This window comes from Homo sapiens, chromosome 10, assembly GCF_000001405.40.
Source record: "Homo sapiens chromosome 10, GRCh38.p14 Primary Assembly".
In the NCBI taxonomy this organism is placed as follows: domain Eukaryota; kingdom Metazoa; phylum Chordata; class Mammalia; order Primates; family Hominidae; genus Homo; species Homo sapiens.
In genome coordinates this window covers 113,118,316-113,139,173 of record NC_000010.11, presented here as the reverse complement: position 1 = coordinate 113,139,173, position 20,858 = coordinate 113,118,316, and the positions used below count along the sequence as shown (strand labels likewise).

Here is a 20,858-nt window from a genome sequence, read left to right as displayed (position 1 = left end):
GATACATACCCGCTGACATGAAAGAAAGCAGACCAGCTCCAGACAGTTTAAAGTGAGTGTGGAAAAACACCAGGGCCAGTGGGGAGAACCACCCATAGCCCAGAGAAGGGAAGATGATTACTAAGGGGTGGAAGGACTGATCAAGTGCCACGGGAGCAGGACCACCATCAGCCAGGAGAAGGATCACATGGGAAGAGAAAGGGCTAGTGGTGGGCATCAGAACCAGCAGCAGTCAGCCCCTAGTCAAGCATCTCCCGGGATGCTTTTCACTCATTCAGATTCCCCAATCCTAGGAAATCTCTCAGTAGGCCCTAATTCATTCACAGTGGGTCTGGGCTCAGGACCCAAGCATCCTGGGCCTGCTTGCTGGGTGTTGTGGGTGGTTCTTGTGTTCCGCCATGAGGACCACACGCACACAGGCAAGCACAGAGGCAAAGAGCCATGGGTTCTGATCATGAATCAAATCCTAGTTCTTAAGGAACCCAGGAAAAGGCTTAGCACAGAACCTAGCACATGATAAGTTTGTTATTTATTATCTATTACAGTGGTTTATTATTAATATTATTTTTATTGTTAGGAAGAAGCTGTCCAGATGACATGATCTGTCTACAGTAAAGAAGCACAAATCCCACAGCCATCTTCTAAGCAGGACTAAGGGGAGATGTGGGGAAAACCCTCTTTCTCTACTTTACAACAAAAGAGGAAGATAGCGTTTGGGCAATAATGGAGTTAACTGAGTGTGAGATTTAAAAATTAAGTCTCCATCTTCTTAGATATACATATGAAGGCGATTCCAACAAAAGGTGGAGCCCTGTGTTCTGGCTACTAACACCTCTCCCAGTATTATTTTGCACACCTGAGCCTAGCCAACTAGTTTTTTCCTGTTCAGTCAAAACTATACCATGGGGGTGGGGGTGGGGTGGAGGGGGTGGCAGGGAACTGGAAGTTTTAGGTACTGCCTGGCTTTAGGGGGAAAAAATGGGACCTGTACTAGGACTAGCCTTACTCCCTCTGACCTCAACTGCATGCCAGGCAGGTCCCTGTGAAAGAACAGAACTTCCTCTCTGTCCAAGCTCATGGGTTCCCTTGCAAGAGAGGAGAACTCTGTGGTCATACCTGCCAAAACCAGGGACTAATTGCCACTCCAGCCAACCTGCCTCTACCTGGAATCCTCTATGATGGAGGGATTTTCTTCTTACAAATGCCTATGTCTCTCCGGCCTCAGACCCCAGAACCCTTTCTTCCTACATCACACGATGCCCATTGCTGGGGGTGTGTGTGCACCCTTCTTGGTCCCACTATACCTAAGTCCCTTAGGGACAAGGACTATGTCTTCTAGAACTTTATGTCCTCCCAAGTGCCCAGTCTGCGGAATGGAGAGCACATTCTCCTAAACTGCAGAAGAACCACCAAATTGCAACTGCAAGCATTCAAAGGGAAAGACAAAGCCAATCACAGATTAACTTCAAGTAAATGTTGGCGCTCTTTAAATGTAGTCTCCTTAGAATCACAGAACAGAGCTTAGTGGTCCTTCTGGACCATCCAGTTCAATACCCTTGCAGACACTATCTCAATTACAACTGTGCCTTTAAAAGGGTTTTAGGGGCAACTGGCATTGCACACAGTGATTCAAGAACTGAATTCAAGGAAGACCCGAGTTTTCATTCTTCCTCACCAGGTTGGCTGTTCGACCTCCCTCAAGACTTCCTTTCTGTCTCTGTCAACTCTGGATGAGAATCGTGTCTACCTCGCAGAGTTGTGAAAACTGAATGAGAACTTGCACGTAAAGTATTTAGCACAGTGACAGGCACAAGCTAAACGTGCAATACAAAGATGCTTTGAAAATGCAATCTGATAAATACTAATGATGACACAGTTCACTATCCCTCTAGCCTCTTCTGATTTAATTCACGGAGCAGGGGGGATACACAGCCATGATTCCACTCCTGATTTCAAAGGTAAGGATGTTTGTTTATGGGGCAAGATCATTCTAGATGATTAGTGGCACTCTCCTCAGGCACATACCCTTCTTCAAAATGCGGTATTTAATTAATCCATATATTTTAATATCTCTTGTGAGAAAAGTCATCACTTTACTATGCCAATAAATGAGATTGCCACAGAGGAGCTGAAAGTTAAAGAAAAAAAAAAAGGCAGGTGGAGATGATCATGGTCCCTTCCAGATCAGGGCAAGGGCCTTTAAGTAAGAGCTGTCATAAATGAAACACAAAAGAATCCAAACAGAAAGATGCCCCTTGGATGGTTCTCCTTCTCTTTGAACACCTCCCACTTCTCTAACGAGGTCTTTAAGAATTGTGTTCAAAACTGCACCACCCTAAGAAAATTTAGATATGAAAAGTAACTTGGTTGCAACATAGACAACCTTCCAGAAATGTATTCATGGCAACTAAATTAGCAGCAACTATCCATGGGGTAGTTGGAGTGCTGGTGGGCTCATTAGCCTGCAGTACTTATTCCCTCCCCCTTTTATCTCTTTATAAACAGAGCCCAATGTGCAAGGGAAACAGCTCAACGTAAGGCCAGGTTCCTTTCGGGAACTATTTCACCTAAATACATCTTCAAAACTACATGGGGATACAAAATCATTACAGCCAGTGACAGCGAACCAATGTTCAAGTTCATGGTAGTGATGGTCAAGGAGAGCTGTGTGAAGAGCCTGCGTTGCTGTACTGAACTCTGAAAACATGATGACAACGGATTCTCCGAGCCACAAAAACAGCAAACACTCATATATGAATAACTCACATAATTTCGAGACGGTTATACCACAGCTGCCGAAGTCACACCACCACCATCAGCTTAGAACACCTTTTCTAGACGAAATGAAGGTAGGATGGGGACTGACCAGCTGCTACCCCTGAAGCACTACCATCCACACCAGCACAGCTCAGGGTGGCCGCCGTTTAATGGTGCCTTGGGCTCTGTGTCTGTGTGCCTCTGTGCTGAGTGCATCACATGCTTTATTCTAGGAAATCCTCACAACGAGCCTATGAAGTAGTCGGCATTTGTTATCAGTTCCACGCGGTAGGTAAAGATATTTTTTTTCCAGGTTACATGCCTTGAGAGAGTGGTGTTTCTAAGCTTTGCAGCCTCACCTGCCTGCCTCCACCACCCCACTTCTACACTCTCCCAGTCTGCAGAAACTGGCATTACTGGGATGGGGTTAATTGCTGTGTTCATCTAGGGAGATGCACCCAATGAGATCAGCCTGGGCCAACCTTCCTATTGGATACAGCTGCTTCAGGACTCTCGGTGGGATCTGTCCTCAAACTCCCACCTACCAATCACTGCATCCTAGACCATTTTCAGCAAATATTGCCCCTAAACCCCAAATTAGGTGGAGCTCAGTGTTCCCTGCCTTAGCCACAATGCCACAGGGCATTGAATATTTTTAGCAGGGATTTTTACACATTTGGCTGATTATGGGAAGACTGGGGATGGAAGGGGTAAAGACATTTAATAGGATGTTTCTGCTTCTCAAATACAAACATGCAGTATCTCGGCCCAGCAGGATTCAGATGATAAAAACACTTTATGTCGTCAGTTCTGGGCTGACAAGAAACTAAAGAAAAAGTCTACTAAAAAGCCGAACCATTAAATGAAGTAAACAATATCTATTTAAAAGGAACCAAAATCCTCATCTGACTTTAAATCATTCAGGGCTTTATGCTTTCTACCTGGAGAAAACGCTCTTTGGCAAAGCCAAGCTTTCCTCTGTCTGGTTCCTTAGGCTCCATGGGTTTTGAGCATTGAATAGTTAAATCATAAAGAAAAGGTCCTTTAACAGCCCTCAAGGCACACAAAGCCCTTCCACCCAAAGTATTCATCGTATTCATCGACTACAGTGGGGGGGAATGGGGAGGGGGAGGCGCCCCTGTGGCTGACCTTTGACCTTTCAAGAACCCTTAAGCATAGCGCTCTGCAACTTGGCCATGCCACCCTCATCGCCAAGCGCCCACACACCCATCCAGACGCTGTTCCTCATTTGGAACTTGGCAAGTGAAAGACTGATTAAGGCACTTCTAAGATCCCTCTGCTTAGTCCCCCTCTCACCCCGACCCCACAAGGCTCTATAACTGTGGGCAACCTAGAGGGAATGAAAGCTTGCCATTCACCTCCGCAACCTATTAATCAACAGACACTGAAAACAAATAGAGCCATTGCTGGCCCTGGTGTCTCCCTTGGCCCTCCTCTTCAATACGCCCCTATTGCTGCCTCTTTCTGCAGAAGCAAAATGGGGCCAGAAAGTGCCTTTAGGAGCTCTGCACAATAAAACTAAAGCAACAGAGGAGCATTTGTCAGCCTTTTCCCCTCCTCAGGGTGGGCATGGAAGGTCTTTGGGGGTCTTCACTTACCAGCCCTCCCAGGGGCTGAAATCAGCATCAGGAAGGGACACCATTCACTCCAGGTTTACATTTAAAAATTGGTTTATAGTCCACCTCTATGCATTTTTCCAGATGCCGTTTACTATGGCTGCAGCAAGACCAATGGCAACCGCTAAAACGTTAATAAAAGTTTCACATCACTGAAGATGTGGTAAGTTGGGGAAGAGGACAGGCTGGGAACACAATGAAGGAAGGGCTGTTTCTTATCCATCAACTACCCTTTGGCAACTCAACTAGTCCTGTTTTTCCAGCCTGTGAGGGTGGTGAACAGTCAGTTAAGGTAACCCCCCTGTCCCCAACAGCCTATGACCCCAGCAGTTAGCAACTATTTCTGCTGGTGGGATGGCCACAGGAGACACAGCCAGTGCAACCTAGGCCTAGGCCTGCATGGACAGTCCCATCCCAACCCAGCAGGCCAACACTTGCTTTTGCATCCTGCAAACCTCTTATATATACACAGAATAAAAACAGCAGTCATGACTTCCTCCCGTGGCCCCAAATGGGTGGGCTTCCTCAGAGCATTTTACCCTGGCCCGTGCCCCTCTCCCCTCGCAGCTAGCCAGGACCCATGCATCACCGTGGCCGGGGTCTTCCTTAGTTGAATGTTGCTCCTTTCTGTCTAAGGCCTTGCTCCCAGCTAATGGTGGATTGTTTCCCTGGACAAGACTTCTATCGATAGCTACAGCACTGCCTGTTGGAAATAATAAATAAAAGACAGAAGGTTTCACAGGGTTCGAGTTTTACTTGGAGAAACAAGGTGGTAAGAGAAAAGAGATCTGCCTGTGAGATGCAGAAAAGCAAAGCCCACCCTGCCAGCCGCAGTACACAGCCTGCATCCTCTGGCCGGGCTGCTGCAGAACCTACCCCCGCAGGCTGCAGAGTTAGAGCGTCTCCAATCCCTGAGAGCCTCCTAGGAAGGGTGCTGCTTATTTGTATTGTAAATTATCAATAGCTGGCTTTTATTTCTCTCCCTCTCCCTCTCTGGAATCAAATCCATTTAGACAGCAAGAAGAGGAAGAGAGATGATTCTCCCTGCCGTCTGTGAAATTTTGCCGACTCATAGTTTCTCATGGATTCACACAGGCATTAAAATTCTTCTTGCTGGGAAATGACTGAACAGAGCAAGCAGGGAGAGGAGAAACGTGCAGTCAGTTTTCATCCAAATTCTCTCACACACATGCAAATACCTAGAACTAACTCGATCACTTCAAGTCCTTGGCCTTTCTTGGGGTGGCCCTTTCTATACTATAACCACCCAGCTGGTAACACACCAAACAGACTGCCAAACATGAAGGGTCTAGAGGACCAAGCTCAGCTCTTCTTAAAGACCTTTTCTCTATCCTCAAAAGGAGGATGGAAGGGCTGGGGGGTGAGAGGTGGTGGGTGGGCTGGAGGTGTTGGGATGGAGGAATAGAGGAACATTCGAACCTGGAAAATAAAGAAGGTGTTAAGATGGAGGAATAGAGGAACATTCGTACCTGGAAAATAAAGAAGGTGTTGAGATGGAGGAATAAAGGAACATTCGAACCTGGAAAATAAAGATGTGCACCAGCTGCTTGGCTTTGTGAAAACCGCAGCCAAGGGCCGACCCAGTAAAGCTGTGCATTCACAGGCTCTTGAACAATTACTTCCAGTTAAGTTCATTAAACATAATTTATTTCCCCTCATTCTCATTTATTTTGCAATTAAAAAGAAAACATCCCATTGTGCCTCCCCCAGCCAACCTTTAAAACACTTGCAAGCTTACATCTTAGCCCACCCGGTCCAGGCTCGCCCCTGATCAGCGAGTTTCCAGGGTTTTCTTCCTGCCTGCCTCTGCCTCCCTCCGGCAGCGTCACAAAATTCTCAACCTGGAGGTCAGTGAGGGAGTGCGACAGGCACAACGGGGCCCTCTGTCCTAATCCTCTGCCAGGTCTCAGGGATGAAGAACCAGCCACTTCACCCCTAAGTAATTTCCCAGGAATTTGCAACCTCCACCCTCCTGCCAAATATTTCTCTACTACTTGGGTATTAAATGATTAGCGTTAACATAATCAATCTTGTTAAGTGCCCGAGTTCACAGAGAATGTTTGGGAATTGGGTAAGAGAGTACAGCTGTTTCTAGGAGAGCAGATCTTCAAAATCGAGCCAGAAATAAATCGAACCTATCCCAAATGAAGAAATCCAAAAGCTCAAATTCAAAACAACTTTTAACAAATAATAATGATTTCCAGACCACCCCCTCGCCACCAAATACAACAACCCCAAATCTAGGGATTCCTAAATATAATGGAAAGGAAATCACCAATTTTGATTTAGAGTAAATTTTAAGAGCATAATGGTTATTACATCCTGGGGAATTAAAGAAAGAAGTAGTGAACAAAATCTGACACCAACTTTCTAATTTATTTACAAGGAACAGCTGCATAAAAAGGTCTTTTGTTTTTCTTGTATACCCTGTGCCTAACTTTCGAATCTCAGCCTGCATTTGAAAATCATGCCTACTCCATGGAGTCTGAGAAAAGCTCAAGAAACAGCTGTTTCCTTCACTGATCAGGTAAATCTTCTCCCTAGAAAAAGAGGAGGTAAGCCAAGAGGAAGAATAAATGTTTCCACTCATGTGGCTCAACAAACACAAATGCTCAAACCCTGTGATTCAGCAAAGACCGACAGAAAGGAAGACGAACACAAAGGCAGAACTGCATTGTTCCGTTCTATCCTGCCTTGTTAGTATCCCAAACATGGGCATCCTTTAATGGGCATCTACAGCCAGAATAAATAACACGCGTGAAAATGACACAGAGTCACCATGGGACAAGGAGGGCAAACACAATTGCTGCTCCCTCTGATCTCCAGCTGATGTGTTGCAAGTTTAAGGTAACGAGGGAGTGACCCAGGCAAAGTTGAATTTTTTCAAAAATCCTCAAATGTGTGCAGAACTACGTAATCTGGAGGGCATGTCAGGATTTCATCACATTCCAAAATATTGCAGAAGGAAAGAATTCTATTACACAGCTCAGCCAGGTCCCCAACAACCCCAAACCACAAAGGGGAGGTTTCCCTAAGAATACAAGGTTTCAGGCTCTGCTGCTTCCAGAAAATGCCGATGCAGCAGCCTGTTGTGACAATACAGAGATCATAATACCTGTATCACTGGAGTCGGGAATTTACGTTTTCAAAGGAACTCCCTTCTCCTAAGACATCAAGAATAGTGGTTTACTCTCATCAAAGCCAACAGGACCACTATTAAGTAACGCAGGTAATTTGAGTAAACTAGGGTCTAGAACCTCAACATGGGAGACTGTACTGGGTGTGATATTTGCAGTAACACAACATACACATTTGCAACACAGCCTCCACTCTCTTCACCACCATTCCTGACAGTTTACACAATCCTAGATTGAACCAAAGAGTTGCACACAGCTAGAAAGGAAAACCAAGATTTACACCCATCATTATTTTACGCTCAACGAGAGAACTATCTATGATCTTGTGTTTTAATTTGACACACAGAATTTAATTCATGATGTTGAAAATATGAACATAAGTCTATGGTATATTTCATTCCTTCTCACCCCAAAATTGGATGGAAGAGCTTATCGACCACTGCAGATTATTTCTGTTTGGTCATACAATAACATCACAAATAATAAAAGTAATTAAGGAATTGCCTCCAAATTCAAGAGAATCCTCTTACAGCTTGTGGCAAAAGATAATCACTCCGGCCGGGCACGGTGGCTCACGCCTGTAATCCCAGCACTTTGGGAGACCGAGACGGGCGGATCACCTGAGGTCAGGAGTTCAAGACTAGCCTGGCCAACGTGATGAAACCCCGTCTCTACTAAAAATACAAAAATTATCTGGGCATGGTGGCGGGTGCCTGTAATACCAGCTACTCAGGAAGCTGAGGCAGGGGAATTGCTTGAACCCGGGAGGTGGAGGTTGCAGTGAGCCGAGATCTCGCCACTGCACTCCAGCCTGGGTAATAAGAGCGAAACTCCGTCTCAAAAATAATAATAATAATAATAATAATAATTTTTTAAAAAGATATCACCACACAGTTGAAGAGAGTATAATGGATCCTAAATCCCAAATTCATATTGCAAAAGGGCCTTCTCCCTAATCATTAACAGCACAATGAGCTGTCATCAGGCTCTTGCTCGGGTTTCCAAAACACATTTTATATTAAGTTTACAAAACACACCACAAGCAAGACCATAGCCCTAAAAAGCCAGCATCTAAATCTGGAGATTGACAACTAAAGACGGAGCAACAGAAAGTTAGCATTAAATATGAAACCAAAATACACAGTTTACACAGCCCTGCTACTGTTAAAGCCTTATCACTCAAAACTTTCAAGCTTTTAAAGTATGCTCCTCTATGAGGCAATGTCATTTTTCCTTCTCTCTTTTCTGATGGAGCCCACCCTGGTGGGTGAAGAAAACAATTATTTGTTAGAAGAAATTCCAAACCGTACCACCCCTTCCCAGATTCCAGCTCACCCGTACTTTGGGAACAGGGTCTGCCTTACCATAGAAGTGTAAGGACTGTGATGAAAGTGAGACTTCTCTCCTCCCCATCTTTTTTTAACCCTTTCTCCCCCTCCCCAAAAAACTGCTGTGAAAAGGACTCAAAGAAAGGGCATAGCTTGAGTTGACCATTTATTCTTGTTTTGTTTTTTCCTTCCCATGATCTAAATTAAGGGGGGGGAAAAAGCATAGGTTTAATGGTCAATACCATAAGCATGGACACGAACATACACACATCCCCCCATACACACACCACACACCCCACTACTCACCCAGCAATTCAAATTGAGGTGCCAACCGCCCAACTGCTGGAACAGAGAGACCCCGGAGGCCACTGCGCCTCCCTTACCACTCAAATCTTCCATTCCCACTAAAATTGTGTCCCTAGGGTACATAACAGCCTTGGTTTTCCCTCTCTCCACCTCTAAAAAAACTTTCTCTGTACCTTCGAGATGGGACTGGGCCAGTTTTTCTTCCTCCTCCCTTTCTGCTTTTCTCACTTTTCTTTTTCCTCCCAGCTTCCCCTCCCTTTAAACCTTTCACTTAAAGAACTGAAAAAAAGCATCTAAAAAGATCGAAATGGCTCCAGATTCCTGGCCGAGTAGGCTCAAAATGCTCAAAGTTGTCGCTCATATTGCCTAGAATTATCTTGTTAATCCTTCCCCCTGTACACACATCCCTAAAAAAATCTTAAAAATAAAAAACAAAAAAGTCCACTAATAATCTAGAGTTCAGCTGGTTGCAGATTTAATTTTTTAAAAAAAATTTTAAAAACTCCTTCTACTTTCTAATCTTTGCCACTACAGAATCCGTGAAGGAAGGGGGAAGGTCCATGTTCCCCAGCCAGCTCAGGGCACCTCAGCAAAGTCCCCTCCCTCACCCGTTACCTTGGGCAGCAGGGACAGAGCTGCCGCTAAGAGTAGCAAAGAAATTACGGTCAGCCATGAGGGAAAATGATCAACCGAGTGCAGGAGGCAGGCACTTTATCTGCAAGATTGTCAAATCCCTCAAAACAAATTTCTTAGGGAGAGGGCTGCGATGGGAGAGGGGAGGGAGGAGGAAAGGATATTTTCTTGTCACAGTGACACGGAAGTGACACTTTGCAGGGCCTTGCCTGCCCTGTATACACCCTCTCTTCCTTCCAGAGTAACAGAATGTGCCTGAAAGATTTTCAACTGACCTCCCTGGAAGCAGAAGAAACGAAGCTTCCTGGGCTCGCTAGTATTCCAATAGTCAGAATGCTAACTCGCTTTTTTGACTGTTGAGTTTTGTGAGCTTTCCCCAGGAACACAGAGAGAGAAAGAAAGAGAGAGAGAGAGAAGGAAGGGAAACGGCAGAGGGATGCAAAGGCTAGAGCTGAATTCCACAAACCCGACTTACTTTTCCTGGGGCTCTTATGGGATCCAGGGCCGGGTACATTTGTGTGGTTTTAACTTAACTTGAGTTGAGACACTCAGACATCACAGGCCAGAAATCGTCCTCTTTTACATGAAGGAGGGGAGTGTGGGAGGGTGGCTGCTCATGGAGGGATTACAGACAGAAAAAGTTGCAGGGGACAAAACTCATCCAGAACGCTTTTCCGGTCTTTTCCCACCCCAAGTGTTAAGCCATTTCACCCTCTTCAAAAGCAAACACACAACTCCGATTTGCATGCAGGTAAGAAAACACCCCTGCTGCCACATGGGATCCTGGACTTGTGTGGCTTGAAGCAAGACCAGTGGCAAAGATTTGGTTTCTTCTGGCGGCAGGACACCTAAGGTAGAGATGTTTTTAATTTACTGAACTGATTGCCCATCTGTTTATCTCCAAGCCCACAAGACTGTTTTCACGATGTAGGTCTTTAAACAATCTGTTAAGACACGGGACAAGTTAATCACCCTCGCCGCTCCCCACCAAAAAAATCAACAAAAACAAGGGCTGGGCAGGCTTAAAAATAACAAAAAAGTGGGAATTCTTCATTTCTTCTTTTCTTCTTTTTTAAAATACTGCTCCGTGGCCTCTCTTTCTGGACTTATCTGGCCTTCCTGTGTAAGTGTCAGGCAGCAATCTTTAAGGCCCTTAATACCAAAACAAAACCCTGCCATTCCCTTTACATGGTGGTAACAAAAGCAATGAGCCTCCACTTTGACAAGTAAAAAGCCCCAACCACACAGCCCCCTAATTGCCTTCTCTCCCTCTATTCACGCGGACCACCACACTCCTGGCAGCTGCTTTTGTCACACACGCAATTTCTTAAGTAAACTGCAAGTTCTCTGCCGCTGATGGACAGCTCCCAATCATTCAGCAACAATAACTTATAAAGTGCGGCAAACAGGATGGGCAACTTTGACTAAGAATTTATTTTCTAGCTTTCTCAAAAGACCGAAAAATGGAAAAAAAAAAAAAAAAAAAAAGGACGCAGCAACATAAGCTAACTCATGCTAGACAGACCCCCTCTTCCTTAAAAAGTAAAGGGAAATTTCTTGAATTTCTTCAAACTAAAAACTGCTCCTCAGAAACTCTTTCCGGATATTTGCCATCCCATCGCACTACTCTAAATTCATCCCCAGGGTGCCCCCAGTTTGTCAGAAGTACACCACGCTTAGAACATTCCCACAAAAAAATCAAAAGGTGATCAAGTGCTGCAAAGTTCTGTAGGGTTTAAAAAAAAAGACAGCAACAACAAAAAAACACTTCCCCAAAACAAAACAAAACAACAACAACAAAACAAAAACGAAAGCTTCCTTTCCTTTCAGCATGAAATTACAATCATGTGCAGGAGGAATGAAGTAAGGAGGTGGGAGGAACTGCTCATTTACATTCCACGGTCCGCATCTGCAGCATCAGCAAACTTTTGTTTTGTTTTAAATAAAGAGGTTCAAGAAGGGAGGAAGGGGAAATGGGTCTTGGAGGAATGGATGGACGAAAAGTAGCAAAATGCTGATTCTTTACGAAAATATTTGGGGATGGGGAGGAGGGGAGCGAGGAGGGTGGAGCATTGGTGTCTTTAACTTGGTGGACAGAAAAAAAAAAAAAACCCGAAACCCCTCCGTATTCACGTCCAAGTTAATAATAATAAAAAAGCATGTTTTTATAGTCACAAGCTGAAATTCGGGGTGGGGGGAGGTATAGTCAATTTCTCTTTTTCGTTTTTTTTGTTTTGTTTTGTTTTGTTTTAAAGAGAGGCTAAAAAAAATAAATCTACTGCATCCACCCCGGCAGCTTACCAGTCAAGGTACATCAACCTGAAAGTTACCGCAAAGTGACAGCGAACATGGCAAAGGCTGAGAGCATGCATGCGGACTGGACAGCCGTGGACGCAGCAGGGCAGGCGCGCGGGATGCAGCGGGCCGGCCACCGCGCACCCCTGCCCGCCCGCCCGCCGCCGGCCGCGCTTACCATCTAGAGAGGGTTGCGGCGCTGTCCTTCCCGCTGCCGGCTCGCGGGCATGCTGCCTGCGCCCAGATGCTGCCCAGGGCCCGCGCCGGCCGCGGGCTCCACTGGAGGGCAGCACCCGCCCTGCAGCCCGCGCCGCCGCCGCGCACCCGCGGCACAGGGGAGCAGCACACACCAGCAGCGCCGCCAGACAAGATGCTCACGCACAGTTCCATTCACAGAATTATCTCGCTTGATAGGGAAGAGCACAATAACTGGGATCTCCCCCGATTCCACAACAACCCACCCCCCCACAAAAGGGAGGGGGCGTTTAAAAAAAAAAGGCAGGGCTTTCTTACTCTTCTTTTTTTCCCCCAAACCCCGGCATTCAATCAAAAGAACAAAGCCTGATATTTTGTTTGCCGACTTAGCAAACATAAAGGCAATTTCAATAGTCCAAAGAACTTCACCTAAGTTGGTGAAAGTAATGCTTTGCAGTTCTCCAGTGAAATTACGCTTTAATAGCTATCTGATGCCATTCAGAGAAGGCAGGGGAGGAAACTCGCTGAATTTAGATAAACTTGGAGGGACCACTTCACTCCAAAGTTTTCTGCCAACTGAAAGTACTCTCAAAATTCTTGGCAACATCCAGAGCTTAATTATCTTGCTGAATTCTTTTTTTTGGAGGTGGGGGGATACAAAAACCAATATAGATCATTAAAAACACCCATATGTAAAAGAATTCAGAACAATTTACTGTATAACATTTTTCATGACTAACTTAAAAAAAAAACAAAACCTACCGAAACTTGTGGATGTGTTCCTTTAAAGCAAATGGTCCTAACACATATTAAACCACCGCTGCGCGTCTTCTAAGCATAGTAGGAAAAAATGACTATTGATCTTCAAATAGCGATAATTGAAAAGATCAAAAAGATTAAACAAAATCAAGAATGTGCTGACTTACCATGCTATGCTTTTTTGTTGCAACTTTGTAGAAATTTCACTCAAAGAAACTGCATCAGAGGTGTCAAATTTTTTAGCGGACTGTGATCGTATTATTTCCGCAGCCCTGCCTTCCAATGCTTCAGAACTTTTTTCCCTTTCTCTTTTTTGTTTGTGGTACCTAGCTTTTTGCTATAGACTTTAAAAGCCTTCAGCTCAGCAAACCAGCACAAATTATCTTGCCACCTTGCGCAGCTCTGATGCTTTGGCCGGTAACTTTGGAAGGCCCTTTACTACTGCATCAAAATTAGCATTGTCAAAGCAGTTAATGAATATTAATATTGTATTTGTCATTGGAGCCGGCCCGTTGCTGAACTCCGAGTCATCCATCAGGGACAAGATTAAGAACACAATTATTTCTGACTGACAGGGACCAAATCTGCTAGAATTTTTTTTTAAACAATTCGGGGGGAAAAAACCCACAATATCATCATCTTAAGGTGTCTCCCAAGAGACTGGGAACCAGATTAATACGCTTTTAATGAAGTAGAGATCATTATGTATGAAGGGGAAAAAAAAGAAAAGAGGTACTATTCAAGCTATTTAGTTATGGTGGTGGCTAGAAATTAAAAAAAAATGCAGACGGCATATCTTTTTCGACAGCTGTCCAGATTTTATTCATACTGTTCTAAAGAAAAAGACGACTTTTTTTTTTTTCTGAAATCTTTTCTTTTTAAAAAAAGAACAGAGAACGAGCGATTCGTCCCATCTGGGATAATTTTCCATGTCTTCACTTTTACTGTAGCGGCTCAGGAAAGACAGCACAGTAAATAATTCCTATACAAATTTGACAAGAAACACCTTCATCAGCTCAGCTCTTTCCACCCTTATTCCCCAGATTCCAAGCACTGTCTCTCTCACTTTATTCAGGATGAACCATTACATTTACAGAAACTCTTAAGTTTCCTTTAACGATGACATCTTTCTGTCATAAACACACAGGAAACAACACAACTCAACGAAAGCCTCTGATACATGCAGCAGATCCCAAATCGCCATTCGGAAAGAGTGCCCGCTAGACTCCTTCGGAGCCAAGATGGTCTCATTTAGGGTGCCGCAAAGTTGAAATGGAAGTTTTATCAGAAATTAAACTAACAGAAGCTTAACGAACTGCGCAATCAGCCCAGTAGCAGAAAACGTTTTACGAGATCATTAAAACACAGAACTTTCTCTACAACATAGGCAGAAGACTAATTAAAAGGAATTAAGCTTAAAAATTTGCAGCTTACCTGGCATAACCAACATATTTGAATTCACCCAAATCATCTCAACATCTATATCTATGTCCTGCAGAGTTATATCACTTATAACTATATTATACATATATGCATACATAGATATATACGGCGATTTCTTAGATGTTTTAGGAATAGCAGGCTTCATTGGCTTGCTCCATATAAGTTGTCTTCGAGATGATATTTCCACCCCCCTTTTCGTATTTTAAATGTGGTAAAAGGGATAAAATGACAGATGTGATGGTTAATCTACCCAATGAATCGTGGGGGTCTAGGTAAAGCTGTAATGGCCACTGAGCTAATCTACAACACCCACTGACCACCCTACTGGCCTTCTAATACCATTATCAACCCTTAGATGAACATTCTAAATTAGAGTTTTGTTCGAAAAGGGTGTGAATCTGACCTTCGATGCTGGGAAGCCTGTGCTGTATATACAGATGGCAAAGTTCTCATAAAAAAAATTTTTTTTAAGGTTTCTACTTTCTCGTGATTTGCATCTTTGAACTCTGTATCTTTACACCCTCCCCTTTTGCCCAAAAAAAGAGCCTTTCCAAATCCCCTCCTGCCATAGCCACTGATGTCATCTCTGCCACACACCCCATAATGTTTATGCCTATCCCGTCAGAAGGACCCCAGTAAAATCGCTGAAAACAAAGAAAAATCTCAAACATACATACAAACATCCTATCTTGCCCCAACTTTTCTTCTTCTCTCTTTCAGTGCTCTTTATATCCAACAAGTTTTTGGAATAGGTCCTAAAAATATATCACTTTCTAAGTGGGAAGACTTGAGACAAAATCGGTTAAGAGGATGAGATAAGAATACAAGAAAGCAATAAAGAATCCCATTTGTTCACACGCACGTCAAGGTACGCTACAAAGAAGGAAAGGAATTTGGGGCTAAGACTTCTCCTCTAGCACTCCTTTTTTAAAAAATGGATCAAAATGGACTTGTGTCAAATTATTATTGCCTAGATATGATTCACTTAAGGATATATTCCCAATGCCACTTTAAAAAAAATCAACGTAATCCCTATGATGAAAGCACACATTCAATGCTCCCTTCAAAAATCACAGTTTTCCTACCTTTTCCCCCACATCATCCCATAACCTACAATAGTCCTTATGCAGATATGTTCCTTTATTTTAGAAAGGCATGTGCAGACGTTTCCCCCATCACCTGTTTATCTAGACCAAAACTCAGACATGTGTAAACACACATACTTATGTGTATCCGACTAAAGATTTTTCAAGCATAGACTGACTTCCAAATAACCTGAGATGTCTAAAGTAAAGAGCCTTTGCTTTATCAATCCAGAGCTTCCCCATTCCTGGCCAGAGCCTGTCTTTTCAGGGCCATGGATATATCCTTAATCTGCATCTTTGTGCGCTCTGAACCGGAGTTGTTAATAGGCAGCTTTCTCTGCCTCTCTCTCGGCTTCCCCAGCACGACCGCATCAGCACTAGTATCAAATTAACTCTCCGACTTTGAAACTTATTGATCTGCTATTAAGACACCAGTGAACTTGATGAAATGAGTGCTGTAGGTGCAGTCATGACTTCAAAGTCTAGCACAGCCACATAAAGCAAGCGCCTTTGATCCTAACTCCGATCTACTGAGGGTTTAAAGCCCAGTTCTCCCTAAGCTGCCCTTCACTCTCGTCATGTCTGATGTCTTACCAACTAGTGACTTGATAATGTTAATAATGCAAATTTTACAAATGATTTTTATAATGGCAAAATTAATTATATGAATTGATGCTTCTTTCAATAGGGGTTTCTGGTTTCTACACTTCTCTTCCCTATAACGGTTGCAGCAATTGTGATGGCCAAGGAGGGATACCGGGCCCAGGTAATTCCGGACCACACTTTCCCATCTTCTTTCCATTTTGTACCTAAAACTAAAGCAATTTACTAGAAATTCCGCTAATAATCTTAGTAACTTTTATTGCTATAATTCTCCTTTCCTAGTAAATACCTACTGCTAAATAGAAGTAGCCTCTTTTTTACATGTGGTTGCTATTTTTAGATGATGGGCCAGTACAAAATCTTTATTCCTGCATACAATTTCTTCCTGATAGTCACAAACCCACGGTTAAGTTGCAGGGTTTCATACTCTCTGTTACTTTCTTACCAACTTGGAATTATCTGAAATGGTATATAGATAAGAATGAGAATGTACTACACAGATTCTGTGACATGAAAAATGTAAATACACATATTCTGTCTCAATCTGGCTAAACAATGCTTTTAATCTAACAAGTTTTTTAATCATCAAGGAATATATGTTTAAGCAAAGATTAATTTTACAAATTCCTTCAGTAAACATTTTGAATCATAGAATATTAAAAATAGGTTTCCAATTCAAATTCTGTCTAAATAGAAAGATAAACCCTATTAACTCTCAGTTTCATAGAGAAGTTTGGATTTAAATCATTTAAGAAAGGTTGTTATGTTCTAGGTTAAAAAATAATCTTATGTATAAACTAGAATGTCAGAATTTAAGCAGAAGTGTATCTTGATACTTCAGGAGAAGAATCAATGTCTAAGGACATATCCTTTGCCAAGAGGTTTGATTCTTTGTATGCTGATTTTGGACAGAAGAATGTCACTAAGTTCAGAGTAAAATGTGCTCGACTAATAGAAGCTTCATATATTCCTTTGATTTACAGTGTGTTATGTAATGATTGTGTTACTGTTGTTCCGAATCCGTGTATTACAGGAAGAAACTAATGGACGTATTTTCTTCAATCAATATGGCAACGTGTTTTCCCCATTGCAAATGTCAGGGCTGCCTCAGCACCCCCATGACAAAACATAATGGAAGTTTTAAAGGGCTGTGATTTTAATAAATACTTGCCTTCATTTGTGTGTGTGTGTGTGTGTGTTGTGTGTATGTGTGCGTGCACGTGTGTGTGTGTTGTGTGTATGTGTGCGTGTGCAAGTGCGTACGTGTGCATTTCCCCCCACAATATATATATTGAGAGAAGGGGGGTAAATCCAATTAGTTTGCTTTCCAACACTACTCTAATCATAAAATTTAGGTAGTAGTAACTTTGTGTTAGTGTTTTCCCTCCTCCCATTCACCCCCCAATGTTGATACTCACTTAACCTACTTGCAATTCTAAAGAAGTCAACACTTGATTGTGACAACGTTCAAAAGAATTTCCTCTGCCACTAGCACAGTAAAAAAACTTTCACCAATTAGTGCAGGAAAAAAGGAGGGAAAAGCCACAGTGCTGGCGCTCAAAGAGCCAGGCCTTGCGGCAAATCTGTCATGTCGAGAGGATTGATCAACAGGACGGCAATTTCTAATGGCATGTTGTCATGAAAAGTCAGCCACAGGGAGCCACCTGCTTTGCTCCTCACAGACAGCTAGGAGAGGAAGGAAGGAAGAGGGCGGGAGAGCGAGAAGAGGGGCAAGGCTCTCTCCATTCCTATCCCTGCCAGTTCCCTTTTGCTAACAATTTTGGTAAAGGTATCATGATTTTTCATTCAGTTGAAACATGTCAAGTCTCCAATCATATTACCCTTCCTCTAAGATTACAGTGGTTTGAAGGCTGACTCTTCCTTTTGCCTCAATCCCTTTTCCCCCCATTTTGCGAAGGGATAGAAGTACCTTCATTTGACCATACTCCCTCTTTGCTTTTGTCTACAATACTCCTTAGATTAGAAGACATCTATCATGCCTTTAAATCAACAAGAAGCATCCTGATTTAATAAAATCCAAGTTTGGAAGAGTCTGGAAGATGAAAGAGATGCAGGTGACACCATCAGACATTATTTTTCTGAGCCAAGCATTTAGCCAATTTAATGCATGTGTAACTGCTCTTGGCCTCATACTTCCTGAGGCTTTGTCTGGTTGAGAAACTGTTCTGAAACTCAGGGTTTGTAGGCCATAATCTAATCCACCACAATCTACTCCGCTATCGGTATCCTCCTGTGACACTGGTGCTGTTAGTTTGTTGTAAATTTTCTTGTGCTCGGTGCAACTCAGTATTTCATAACACCCTCCTACGTCCCCTTGAAAACAGAAGACATTCTGCCTCTGAACACTCCTCTAGAAGGTATGATTTTCTCAGTACCCAAGACTCTGATTACCAACCACTCCAAAGAATAGTCCTTCCTCCTCCTAATGTCCTACTCAATGGCTCCCTTGTCATTTCAAATGATGCTGTATTTGATTATTAGTACTACAAGATACTCTACCAGTACCAATCCCCAAAATGTCAAGCTACTGAAGGACCCAACACTAAATCGCAACATCTGAAAAACTGCTTCCCATTGACCTGATCTTAGAAAGTTGATGTGGTTGCTCTCCATAAAAGCCACTAACACAAAGGCCATCTTCTCCGTCTGTGTGAGGATGGTCCAAAATACAGTTGTGACCTCCTGTCCCTGGTAATTTTCATACTTTAAACACTCACAAATATACTACCCCTCAATCTACTTTGAACAAAAGAAAAAGAGTCAAATAAAAGTTAAAGAACTTTTAAGTTCATGAAACCAAACCCCACTTGGCATGCAAATCACGTACTGTAACCTTTTATTGGCGGAGCCTCTGGTCTCATCAGTCGATGAAATTCTCAGCCCGCGGCAACAGCTTAGCCGAGGGACACAGACCAATGAGAAAATATTCATTGTGTTAGCATTTCAAATGGCGAGAAAGGAAGAAGAAGCGCTAACTGATCACTGCCCGTGGAATTAATTGGATATTCCAAGAATAATGTCTCTCACTGAAGATCCTTGGAGGCCAAGCGCTGGTAGAGACCACATTTTGTGCGGCGCCTTCAAAAAGAGACCGCTTGGGGGTAGTGGACATATTAGGGTTTTAGCGCATTTCCCTAAAGGCCAGAAGATAATCAGATGCACTGAACCAAACTCAACTAATCCAATCCATAATTATACACACAAATCCAATAAACTTTGCCACATAACTGGAAAATTAGTCTATTATATTGAAACCTTCGATAAGTTTTTTTAAAAAAAAAAACACCTTAAGGGACACCATGGCTAAAATGTTTCTTTTGGGGGTGGAGACATGTGGCCAAGAACTTTATTATTTTTTGCTTGCAAGTTATAACCTTCTGTTATGTTCAAGGACTGATCTTAGTGCCAACATGGTTTCTTTATTCAGGGAGGGATTTGTGTTTCGGCTTTATTGCACATAACCTAAGCATCTGCAATGACCCTGACCGATATTAGTATATCTTTCCTTAAGACACATCTTAATCTAACCTTTTTAAGACTCTTTTGCTTTCAAACTCAAAACAGCATAAAAAATAAGCATTGTTGGTGGCACCAGGAGTCTGAACTAAGGGCCTGGCGTGGTCCGCAGCAATAGCCCCCTGGATAAACAGCTGCCGGTGAAACTAAATCACCATCGGAGACCAAAAGGTAAGGGGGGAAAAATGAGATTAGGAACTTTCCCAAATGTTCCATCTCTCCTATCGACCACTGGCCTAGCGTGAGGTGTCAATTTTGACTCCAAAGAGAGCACACGAATTCGCAGCGGTCCCATTATGCGGTCTCTGCTCTCATTGTAAATTCTGTCAACGAAGTCAATCTTATTAACTTCCGCACTGGTTCACACATGACATTTTCTTCAATTTTCTTGCTGACATCAAAAACATCAATTAGCAGCCCGAAAATAGGAAGGAACGAATGACAGCGCCTGATAACGTCGACTATTTGAAGCCAAGGGTAAATCTATTCTCCAGTTCTGAATGCGTTCATTACAATTGCATTTTCAAAGAAGACCTCCAAATAGCAAAGAAAATTAAATTTATCATCTAGAAATGCCTAGAAATTGTTTTTTTAATCCTATGTCTATCTCTCAATCCCAGAGCGTAATACAAAGTATCGCAATTGAGTTTTATGATAACATGCCACAACTTTAATAGAAAGTTTATAAAATATGCAGCCTGGACCACACTTACTATCAAATAGCAACCAAGGCTTGGGAATAAAATAAAATAAAAAAAACAAAAAAAAAAAAACAAAAAAAAACAAAAAAAAAACTTCCCCAACAGATTGCAGCCTCTCCTGGTAGGGCCTATCCATTTTCCTGGGTTCTCACTATACTCCAGGCAAATGTGTAGGTGAACAAACACACACACACACACACACACACACACACACACCCCCCAGATGACCAGTTGGTTGAAAACTTTAAAAAATGAAAAAGAAAAGGCAACAAAGTCTGTCATTCAAAACCCAAATGTTTTTATGGAGAAAAACCAACACTCTGTCCCTCCCTACAAAACTAAATAAGTCTTACTATCCACATACCCCTTTCTCTTCTTTAAGAAACAAGTTTCCAGTAAAATTTCCCCTCTTCCCACTGAT

The 20,858-nt window shown here is 42.9% G+C and overlaps 1 protein-coding gene across 17 annotated transcripts in view, besides 2 other annotated features; it reads right to left on the bottom strand.

Moving 5' to 3' along the window:
* Positions 1–20,858, bottom strand: part of TCF7L2 (transcription factor 7 like 2) — a 217,432-nt gene that overhangs the window by 28,505 nt on the left and 168,069 nt on the right. The window contains exon 1 of one of the 17 annotated variants that reach the window (NM_001349871.1): positions 12,293–12,541. The exons of 15 other annotated variants lie outside the window; for them this stretch is intronic. In NM_001349871.1, the coding sequence (NP_001336800.1) occupies positions 12,293–12,295 (3 nt within the window). In that variant the 5' untranslated portion in view covers positions 12,296–12,541. Of the gene's footprint in view, positions 1–9,186; positions 9,904–12,292; positions 12,542–20,858 lie in introns of those variants that run through there. One more of the 17 variants, NM_001349870.2, reaches the window with a different exon arrangement.
* Positions 3,543–4,131: an enhancer, noted in NCBI's record as "OCT4-NANOG hESC enhancer chr10:114894802-114895390 (GRCh37/hg19 assembly coordinates)". NCBI's record gives its function as "activates a minimal SCP1, AML or CMV promoter by ChIP-STARR-seq in naive H9 embryonic stem cells {active_cell/tissue: H9 hESC(naive)}" and the evidence as "EXISTENCE:reporter gene assay evidence [ECO:0000049][PMID:30033119]".
* Positions 12,382–12,501: a silencer, noted in NCBI's record as "silent region_2836". NCBI's record gives its function as "represses an Ori minimal core promoter by ATAC-STARR-seq in GM12878 lymphoblastoid cells {active_cell/tissue: GM12878}" and the evidence as "EXISTENCE:reporter gene assay evidence [ECO:0000049][PMID:35858748]".